Source organism: Homo sapiens, chromosome 2 (genome assembly GCF_000001405.40).
Source record: "Homo sapiens chromosome 2, GRCh38.p14 Primary Assembly".
In the NCBI taxonomy this organism is placed as follows: Eukaryota; Metazoa; Chordata; class Mammalia; order Primates; family Hominidae; genus Homo; species Homo sapiens.
This window is the reverse complement of record NC_000002.12, coordinates 83,297,955-83,310,365: the sequence shown is the minus strand read 5'-3', so window position 1 is coordinate 83,310,365 and position 12,411 is coordinate 83,297,955.

Below are 12,411 nucleotides of genomic sequence, written 5' to 3'. Positions count from 1 at the left end.
GAAATTCTATTCATTTTTTTCTCTATTATTAAAAAACTCTTCAATTGACATGTCAGTAGAACACATTTTAGGCAGTATTGTCTTTTTGTTTCCTAACCATATTATGCTACATCCAATATTTCAATTGTTTATCAGTTTCAATGGAGAGAAAATACCATTTATTTGACAGTATTATTGACATCTAACAAATACACACCAATTTAAATTCCAAATCTTACATGAAACCATCAAAATGTTGTGACAGGACTTGCGTATGTTGATTTTAACTAGACAAGCAATCATATGAGACATAGGATCACAGTCAACAGTGCTCTCGTCCAAATAGCACTGACATCAACAGAGCACAGCAAGACGTGAAGCATGACATGGTCCATTTATCCTCTAGGGTTCCACTGAGAAATTTGTATACAAATTCTCATTTAAAAATGCACAGCTAGGCCAGGTGCAGTGGCTCCTGCCTGTAATCCCAGCACTTTGGGAGGCCGAGGCAAGTGGATCACCTGAGGTCGGGGGTTCAAGATGAGCCTGGCCAACATGGTGAAACCCCACCTCTACTAAAATATCAAAAATTAGCCGGGTGTGGTGTCAGGCTTCTGTAATCCCAGCTACTTGGGAGGCTGAGGCAGGAGAATCGCTTGAACCTGGGAGGCAGAGGTTGCAGTGAGCCAAGACCACACCATCGCACTCTAGCCTGGGCAGTGAAAGCAAGACTCCGTCTCAAAAAAAAAAAAAAAAAAAAAATAGCACAGCTAAGCCTAAATTTATAAACATATTTTCCGGAGTTCTGGAATGACTCTTTAATCAAGGAATGCCTTCTTTAGAGTCTTATAAAAATAAAATTAAACTAAAAAATCCACAGTATAATATTTGCAATGGGCATAGTATTATTTTATATCAAAATCAACATTATTATATATTAACTTTGATATAATATTATTTTAAATACTTTGTAAAGTTGAGTTGATCAAGTGATTCAGAATTTGGAAAATTCCAGAGCCAGTGCATGAGAGAGAGTGGGTTATGGAGGGAAACAATAGTGAGGAGGGTGATGGGCACAGTTATAACCAATGGAAATTGTGCCAAACAGTAAAGTGACACTTAAAGTGCTCCTTAAAAAGTGGAGAGAAAAAAACATTTGGGGAAACTATCCCTATATTACCCAGGAAAGTGGGACCAGTTCTGGCTTTCTTGATGAAGGAGAGTTACTTTAATAGCTGTATTTATCTGAATTACTTATGTTTTAATTCATTGCAGCAACTGTTTTCCATAGGGACAAATAGAGAAGACAAGCTGATAGGATAATTGCCATTATTTAATACATCTGGGGCTTGGGGCTGGGTTAAAAATAAAGACGTAGGAGTAAATGAAGAATAAACCAACATGGTAGTGCCCTCCTTAAAAACACACTTACTTATGTTTAACCTCTGAATAATAACTATATTTGAAAATAATAACTCGTATCGGAAGCATTCCTCCCCTTCACAGGAGATTTCAGTAGTGGAAGCTCATTGATATAACATGTTGCTTGGCAAACTCAAACGAGAGATTTGTACATTAAATCTCCTCTTGTTAGGCCATTTTCTGCACACAGCTAAAATGCAAGGTATTATGCCAAAGTGTTCCTGTTGCTGATTCAAGGGTTTCTTAGGTGAATAATGATCTCAGATACTCTACCTGCACAGGCTTCTCATGTATATTTTGATAACTCTTTCTTTTAGCTCTTTATACAAGTGAAAATAAAAGAGCTGTAAGGTGACAAGTTATAAAAATCAAATATTTGCCCTAGGAGACTATTCCTGAACACAGAAACATAAACAGTAATATATTAATAAATTTATAATACAATGATATTATAACAAAATATTGCTAATTACTTGTTGGCATTACATCTCAGAATAATGAAGTTGGGCATTTAGCATATAAAAGGTCGTTTTCCTTAAATATGCCTTTCTTCTTTTTTTTTCCATTAAAATTTTTATAAAGTACCTTTAAAAAACTATTCAGCTATTGCATGTAATGACAAAGGCAATTCTATGAGATTACCATATTTGAGCAATTAAATAAGTTGCTCCAAATCATACAGAAAGTAAGAAACAGTGCTAAGGTTTCTTCTTTGATAGTTTATCTATAAGACCAAGATATGTCCCAAAAATATTAATGTTCTTTATAAATTCCCTTCCTTCAAAGTATTTTTCTTCTTGATTCTATTAAAACAGAAATATTTGATGTCTCAATACTTTTAAGTATTTTTGGACTATTGTTTAAAACCTCTCCTCCATTTTAATGGAATTTTTCTGCATTCCCTTAAATGAAAATCTGTTAATACCAAGCAGAGAAAAATAGCTTAGGAAACCTAAGTTTACATCATAACAGGATAAGAATAGCCAACCTTGGAAATAAGGTATTTCACAAGAAATACAATATAACATCAAAAAGAAAAGAAAAGAAAGGAAAAGAAAAGAAAAGGACTTCAACTAAATCAGCTGATGAAAATCTACTTTTCCTATGTTGGACCAAATTGTAGAACTATTTAACATGAGCTATCACTTCTGAACTAGTTTAGTTTAACTAAGGCCTTATTTGATGATCATCAGCTAGAGACTAAGATGGATATTGAAAAGATAGTCTTAACCACATAAGAAGATACTTCATATATGAGGAAAGACTAACTACCGGTTTAGAATCTAACTAATCTCAGAACAAAAATAATGAAACCCGAGAAATAAACAAAAATCCAAAGCAGATTTACAATGGAGTCTCTTTGAAGTGCAATAACCAACACTGGGCATATATTCCTGAGTGTCTTAAAAGTGCAGCAGAATGCCTATGTTGCAGAGAATGCTACTCTGAAAGTGCTCCCCTTATCATCACCCTGACAGCAAGGACTTTATTAATCTTATTCACACTTACATACGTCTACTGCATTCTTTATAGAGCCTAACACTTAAAAATGACAATAAATAATCTTTGATGAAATAGTCTTCCTTTTTTCTTTCATCCTTTAAACATTTTCAGCAAAAATCAATATATACTATATTTAAAGGTAAGAAGAACAAGTTTAAATTTATAATTTACAGTTTATTATGTGTTTTCAATTTTTTTTTTTTTTTTTTTTTTTTTTTGCTGTTTTTCTTCAAAGTTTGAGATTACATCTTTCTTGCCCAGCTTTCTGGAATAAGGGTCCTTTTCTTATTCATAGACACCTATATCCACTTTGTCTTTTTAAAGACCATTTTTTGGACATCCTTCCATGTGATTATGTCTTACTTGACCTTTCCTGGCAGTTTCATTGTGTCATTGACAAACTCAACATTGCTACACAGTCAAATCACATACATGGAAGATTATAATTTACCCAGAGAGAATTATTAGATAGTCTTTTGTTGTTGTTGTTTTGTTAGTTTGTTTTACAGTTTTACCACATGAGTCTGGTAAATGAAACTACAGTGGCATAGTGGCATTAAATTGCCCTACTGACCTAGTCACCTGAGATTTGATTGGCTTTTTGTAAGAATGCTTTTTGTAAGGCAGTAAGTTCTTTAAAAAAGTCGATTAGCACTGAACTTTAGAATAAAACATGGATATATTTATTTCTTTTCACAATTTTCATATGTGATATATTTATAATATATTCCTGTATCTTGGATGAATAGTTGACTATAATCCCTCTTGCTAGTTGCTGTGCAAAAATCAATAGTTATTAGTAACCTGGATAGTTTTACATTTCTCTGAAGTGTAGCAATCTTGGAAAATCGTAATCAGTGCCTTAGATCAGAGTAAAGATTGGAAACCTTTACATCCTCTACATCTCTCCTGTACTCATGTCTTGCAGCTAAGTTTCACTGTTTTCTCTGTCACCAATTTGACCAGCTGAGAATCCTGGAAGCAGGGCCTTTTGTGCAGGCCAGTCCTCTTGCCACCTTTCATAGTCCAAACTTTTACCTGGTAGATGCTGGGAGGCTGATCTCTACACCAACTCTCAGCAACTTTGCCTGTGCTCTCTGGCCTGACACACTGCCCTTTTTGCTCATTAATTCAAATACATTCTGTCCTCAAGTTCGATTTCAAGTTTAGTTTTACTTTATTTTATTTTACTTTTTTATTGTCTTGGATGATGACATTATGACTAAGTTAGTTAACAAAGAATCCCAAAGTCTTTGTGACTTAAGAAAACAAAAAGCTGTTTTTTATTTACTCAAAGTCCCCTGCAGACCTGAGGACTCCTTAAAGCCATAGTCCTGCATATGATGACTCATTGATTCAGGCTGTTGGATACTTTGACTTGACATTTTAACAAAGACTTCCTTCACTTTTGTCACAAAAGAAGAGAAGAGGCGACTGGGCGCGGTGGCTCACACCTGTAATCCTAGCACTCTGGGAGGCCGAGGCACGCGGATCACTTGAGGTCAGGAGTTCGAAAGCAGCCTGGCCAACATGGTGAAACCCTGTCTCTACTAAAACTACAAAAAATTAGCCAGGCATGCTGGTTGACACCTGTAATCCCAGCTACTCGGGAGGCTGAGTCAGGAGAATCGCTTGAACCCAGAAGGCAGTGGTTGCAGTGAGCCAAAATCGTGCCATTGCACTGCAGCCTGGGCAACAAGAGCAAAACTCTGCCTCAAAAAATAATAAATAAATAAATAAATAAATAAATAAATAAGAGGCTGCAGTATTTGGGTGACTGTTAAATGCTTAAGTGCGAACGTAACACACATCACCTCTACTTACTTTTTTTTTTCTACTTACTTATTGACCATAACCTGTCATATAAACTGCACTCCTAACTCCAAAGAGGTTAAGAAATTTAACGTCCTCATGTGCCTGAGAGATGATGAGACAGGATACTTGCAACATAAAAATTTCAACAAAAATATATAATAGACAAGATCTAAATAACGTAAAGAAAAAGTTTGCATACACATATACAGTACACTTTTTTTGTAGTCTTAATGAAACTAATGTTTTACAAAATTCTCTATAAGGCCAGATTGAAAATGAAAATCAATAGCAAAAGCAAATAGAATTCATTATCGAAACACAGCAATAAACATAGCTAATATGCATAGAAATTAATAGTAAAATTTAAAAAGCACTAAAGCTAACTTATAGACACTTTAAGAAGATTCTCATAATGTGAAAAAAAACTATGATAATAATGATGACAACACTAAAATGTAATATCTATGTAAACCTTACAGTTTGCCAAGCACAGTTTGCATTTATTACCTCATTTATCCTAATAACTTCTGTATGAGGTACTTATATCCTTATTATCAATTTTTTCTTAGAGAAGAGTTGACTGAGGCAGACTAGGGGTGATGTGCCAAAAGTCACAAAGACAGTGACTGGAAGAGAAGAACCAAGATTTGTAGTGCCACTAAGACAACAATTATATGATTAAATCATATGTGACATGATTTCAGGAATGCCTCAGAGATGATAATTTAACTCTTTAAAGCAAGCTATTAGAAGGTAAACAAAAATGTGCCTAGAGATGGGAACAACTAAAGAATATGTAAATGAATTTTAAAAGAGGGGGAAAAGTATAACTAATAAAACTAATAATTCTGTTAATAGGTAAATTTAAGACAAAATAATCAAAAATATTAAAAAATCACAAAAAACTCACAAGTGTATAATTATGGATAAGAAATCTACAGAGATACAAAAGCAATTTAGAATAATTGGTAATGACTGTATTAAGAAGATAGAAGTACACTGAAAGTCACAATAGCATGTATGATTTATTTAATTATAAACTAATTCAATTTAGCTCAGAAGACTTATAAATAGGAATACACCAATTAATTTTGGTATAATTAGAATTTCCTGAAACAGAATAGAATGATGATTTTATGGACAAGAAGGTAATGGAAATCAGAAGATACTGGCGAAAAGGTATAAACTTTGTTATAAGGTGAATAAATTCCCAGGAGCTAATGTACAGAATGGTAACTTCAGTTAACAATAATGTATTGTACACTTGAAATTTGCTAAGACCGTAGATCTTAAATACTATTTTACACACAAGAAAAATGGTACTTAGGTGAGGTCATAGGTGTGTTAACTAACTTAATTGTGCTAATCATTTCACTATATATAAAATAAAAAATAATTTTATTAAATAATGATCATCTAAACAAAGCTCAGTATTAGGTGACTTTGACACCTCTAATCTAGTGGGAAATATTGGAATTCAAATATAATTAATCAGTAGAGAGTTTTGCAAAAACAAACCAACAAAATGAATTCAACATAGCCATATAAAGCCATATCATTCATTACCTGATAAAGATAACATAAACAGACTTCCAATTATATGCGTATGGTATGACAGGTGCCCTGAAGTTACCTATGCCAATAGAACACCTATTTTATGAATAAGATATATTCTTCGTAGCAGTGATGAACCCAGAGATGGCAAAAGAGGTCTGCAAGAACCCAACCATTCACTTAAAAAAAATCATATCTTGGTTCCAGCAGTTGGAGTGCCAAGCTCAGGACACAAGAAAAAGATGAAGGAGAGGGTTTAGAATGTTATTTAAATTTAGACATCATTAAATATGCACATTAAAGTTTTATGGATGACTAGATCAGAGTCTGTATAAATACTAGACCAGCAGATGTAAAATAAATTAAAAAAACAAAATTTTTAAAATAGTAAAACAAATATTAATTAACAAAAAGGCAGCAATAAGAAATAAGGCATGGAAATAGTGAACCCAACTTTAATGTAAATCACAATAAATTTAATTGGGCTAAACGTATTATTAAATGTTGGGAAATCGTGATCGAGTCTATAAATAAAAAATGTATTGTGTACACACATTTCATTTAGTGTAGTTGAATGTGTGAACCCCAGATATCTTAGCTGGTTTCAGTAAATTTAGGAAGTTTATTTTGCCAAAGTTAAGAATGCACGCCCATGACACAGTCTCAGGAGGGTCTGATGACATGTGCCCAAGGTGATCAGGGCCCAGCTTGGTTTTATAGATTTTAGGGAGACATGAGTCATCAATCATTATAGGTAAGATGGACACTGGTTTGGTTCAGAAAGGTGGGACAACTTGAGAGGGGGCTTCCAGGTCATAGGTAGATAAGAGAAAAATGGTTGCATTCTTTTGAGTTTCTGATTAAACTTTCCAAAGAGACAATCAGATCTACATTTATCTCAGTGAACAAAGGAATGACTTTGAATAGAATGGGAGGCAAATTTGCCCTAAGCAGTTTCCATCTTGACTTTTCCTTTTAGCTTAGTTATTTTGGGGTTCCAAGATTTTTTTCCTTTCACAAATGACATGTTCATGATTTTCCATGTATTATCATGCTATATAAATAAAACATATTATAGATACATTATTTGCAGGTGTCAACTATTACATTTAAAATAAAGATAAAATAGTATCAACATACAATCACTTAAAGAACAATCTCATTTCAATATCAAAACAATGATGTCAAATAAATTGCTAGTATCAATTAGCACATTTTCTATTCTGATAAGAATACGATTTAAATTGACTACAACAATCAAAAATATTTTGTGTAATGTTTTAAATTTGTGAGGTAATTTCTATTTGGAAGGATCTTAATTTTAAAGTTGTAGGACTGTACTAAAACCCATTTTTCTCTCCATCTCTCCACTGGTCCATCTAAGAGTAAAGTTTCCATGTTAAAATCCTGCATCTATTCTACTTAACAGATCAAAATTCTGCTTTTATGGTTATAAAATATCTTAGCAACTTTCAATTGCATATACATACATTGCACAATTCTGCAAAAAGTGAGTGGCTTCTCTGGTTGCTTCTGTAATAGAGACACAATTTAATGTTATTAGAAATCAGTATTACTCATGCCACCCATGCTAGGAAAGAATGCAAAGGGAAGCTCCTCAGGTGCCTTGATTTTCCAAAAAGATAGCTTAGAATTGCTGCCGCCAAACAACGGACTCTGTGGAGCTGCGAAGGACCTGATATATTGTGCTAAGAACATACATATGCAAAGAAAATTGTGAAATTATGCCAAATTTAATATTGTGTTTTTGTGTTCAAAAGTTATAAAACTGTTTAGGATGAGGGCTTGATCATGGGTCTGCAAGCTCATTAACTAGGCAGGTGCAGCACATTAGAATGCATAAATAAGCATATGCCTATCCTATCTTTAATTTACATTTTGATCTTTACTTAAAACAGAACTACCATTTGACCCAGCAATTCCATTACTGGGCATATACCCAAAGGAAAATTAATCATTCTACCAAAAATATGTCTGCACTCAGATGTTCATTGCACCACTATTCACAATAGCAGACATGGCATCAATCTAAATGTCCATCAACGGAAGACTGGATAAAGAAAATGTAGTATAGATACATCATGGAATACTACACAGTCATAAACAAGAATGAGATCATATCCTTTGTAGCAAAATGGATGCAGCTGAAGGCCATTATCCTAAGAAAATTAACACAAAACAGAAAACCAAATATCACATGTTCTCACTTATAAGTGAGTGCTAAACTTTGGGTATACATGGACATAAAGATGGGAATGACAGATACTGGGAACTACTGGAAGGGGAGAGAGAGTAGGGGCAAGGGCTGAAAAACTACCTATTGGGTACTATGCTCACCACCTGGATGATGGGATCATTTATACCTCAAACCTCAGTGTCATGCAATATACTCATGTAATAAACATATACAAGTATCCCCTGAACCTAAAAGTGGAAATTATTTTAAAAATAATTATTAGTTTCATATAAATCAACTTAAATAAAAATATATCTATAAAAATAAGTATCTATCTTGATTACTGTTTTGTCATCTCATTAAATTTTGCACTCAAGAAAAGTCCCTGTCACTTCCCCCTAGTCCTGGTCATATACAACATACGTATATCATATACTGATATATAGAATATAACTAGGTTATTTAGCACACAATATTATTACTGAATTTGAATTAAATAAAGTCCATATAACTGGTCATGTAATCTCTTTGGTGAGTTTGGTGGTAGGGACTTTTACTCCAAATTCAACTTCAATTTGGACTATCTCAACCCAACAGTTTCTACAAATGTTTTCTTTTCTCAAAGTCGTTCACCTATATGAAAATTTATATATTCATCCTTCAGATATAGTCACATGTTGAAGTGTCAGAGAGTCCTCAATACGTCTAATGATGTTTATTTCCTGGTGCCTTAAGTCCCACCTCATCTTACATTAAAATCTTTACAGAGTCAATTTAATGTTAACAAGCAGGAAACTATTTATCTTAAATTTAGACTTCCATTGCTACTCATCCTACTGCAAATTTAGTACACATTAAAAAAGAAATGCATACATCCCTAAATAAACTGAATATCAACTTGGGTATGTAATTTAAATGCACTGAACATCCACATTTTCCTTGAGCTTTACACAGCATTCTCTTACTTTCTCTAGGTTACTGATGTACTTTTCCTTTGGGATGGTGTTATATAATGCCTATGAAAGAGATTTAAGTTAATCATTGTTTTACAGTTAACTTTTTTTGTTTTTTATAATTTTTCTCTTGAAGAAAGATAAATGTAGTTACTTCCAGGGTGGATTTTCTTCACCCAGATACTCATTGCTCTTCCTTTAAGATGCACAAAAACAATTTTCTTCTAGAACAACATACCTGCCATAGTGTATTGATTGCTTTTTGGTTTGAGGAATTTGAATGAGCAACTACATTTCATCCTACTGGGAAACACTAACCCATACTAGTATTACATTTTGGTGGGAGGAAGATGAAGAAGCTAGGATAAAATGGGAAGGAAGATAAATGAGCTCAATTTCATAGGAGTAAGGCCTTTTTTCCCTCAACACCTGTAGTTTGCTGTCACATTCATTCTCCCTTTCTTTCAACCCACATGTGCATGCATACACGCACACACCACACACACACACTCACACAGTATTGCACTTTAATCTTCTTTGGCATTGCAAGAAACTCCATGAATAACTCATGAATATAAAAATGAATTATGCATTAGTCGACTCAAAACAAACTGTTTCCAGGTGATTTGATTTAAAAAGCTTATGACTGACAAGTGAAAATAATTAATAAACATCTAGATTGTAAAATGTGTGCACAATATTACAAAAAGTTAAAAGGGTTAAAAAATGGCACTAAATTAAGAGACAAGAAATAGTTGTGCTTCTCTCAATTATCCATCAAAATTCATTAAAATTCCACACTTATTGCAACTTTGATTCTGCATTATTTATACCACTACTATGCTCCATTGATTTCAATTTTTTGATTTTATAAAAAGAGTAAAAGAATACATTGCTTATTCCTGGCCAAGAGCAGTATGTTTTAAACTGTGAGCAAATGGTTGGGGGAATGACACAATAAAATTTTCAGAAGGAAGTTAATAGATGTGTGTGCTCAATCAGAAAGAACTTTATTTTTTGCATAAACAAATTTTCATGTTCTAAAGTGGAAAAGTGAATCCTATGTATATTAAATAATAAGCCAAAATTTATTCAACATGATTTTTATGAATTGTATGTTGATGTGTACAGTTTGTATGATGGTGACATGAAACTCTGTCATCAGGACTTACATTCCAGTGTTGTTTGGCTTATAAAATGCCTTTCCCAGTAATGTATTCATGTGTTTATCTAAGTATAAATACTGGATATCCCACTACTATAAATACAAATCTGAAGGAGGAAGTAATTTATCCCAGATAAATAAAGAATTCTAAGAGAAAAAGATAAAAAGATGAGGTCATATCTTACCTGTTTCTACAGAAAATCCCTTTGCTTGTTATAGAATGAACATCAGATTGGATTTAAGCAGAATCATTATTTTTCTGAGTTACAGGCTTTGCTCTCCACTCAAGTGTAGATTCTTGTCAAGCACTGCCCTTTCTAACTACTCTCAGCTGGAGTCTGAAAACTCTTATCCATCAGATTGCACCTTCCTTGTACCTCAGCCAGCCCAAAAGCCCCCAAAAGTGTAATCTTCTTAACTCTGATTAGTAAGTAAAATAGGAACAGGAAAGAGTTTTGTCACAGAATCTAACATCTCCCCTTTATAAAGCTTTATGTTTTGCATCGTTACATTAATGTCAGTGAGAATAAGATAACATAGATGAATTACCTGAGAAAATTGAAGCTACCTCAAACCTGTCAATGTAAATCTTAAAACTAACTGAAATCTATTCAAATTGCCAATCAATACAGGAATGTTTAAGAAAGATGGTTTCATACCTGATAGAATCGGTTTTTCAATGATGCTTAATATTTTTTATAACATTTTGGGAAATATGTGAGTATCAAATTGTTAATCTTGGCTGGGCACAGTGGCTCACGCCTGTAATTGTAGCACTTTGGGATGCCAAGGTGGGCAGATCACTTGAGGTCAGGAGTTTGAAACCAGCCTGGCCAACACAGTGAAACCCTGTGTCTACTAAAAATACAAAAAAAAGGGCCAGATGTGGGGGCATGCATCTGTAATTCCAGCTACTCAGGAGGCTGAGGCACGAGAATTGCTTGAACCCAAGAGGCGGAGGTTGCACTGAGTGGAGATCATGCCACTGCACTCCAGCCTGTGTGACAGCGTGAGACTGCTTCTCAAAAAAAAAAAAAAAAGTCAATCTTTTTATTTTCCTAAAATTCATATTGACATAGAATAATCTATGAGTATCTTCTTTGTGATTCTATTAAAAATATAAATTGATTTAGAGAGAAAATAAACATTTATAATATTGAGTTTGCATTCCATAAATATGATTTATCATATTGTTGGTAATTTCAATTATGGAAAATAAGCACAGAAAAAGGAATCGAATAGACTAGGAATAATTCTAACAAAAATGTGCAAGATGTCTAAACTAAAAAATTAAAATATTGAGAGACATTAAGAAGATCAAAATTAATAGAAGAAATAGGAGAGAAGCAGATAGACTCTGCCTGAAATTAAGACTATTATACGATTAGGAATTTAAGATATGTGTGTAAGACAGATAAATGGAACAATGAAATAGAAAGAGTCCCAGAAAAACTGAGATTTGATTTATGTAAAAGCTAGCACTGCAGAGCAATGGCAAAAAAAAGAAGGTCTTTTGGATAAACGTTCTTTCTAGCCAAAAGACAGACACCCAAAAAGAGTAGGAAATGGGGTAGCCTAGCAGACAGAAAACTTTTTGACATTAACTGCTCTACTCTGTCAGAAAAAATTATGATGCCATCCATTCAAACTCACAGCAACTAAGTTTGAATGGAGATTGGAGACTTCCACATTTGCCAGGCTATAATGAGGCAACCCAGGTTCCCCATGAGGATGGGTATCAGAGGTGTTCAAGTAGGCCGCTAAAATTTCATTCACACTGGCAGTGAAAGGATTCCTTCCCATGGTGTCAGCTGGGACTAGAT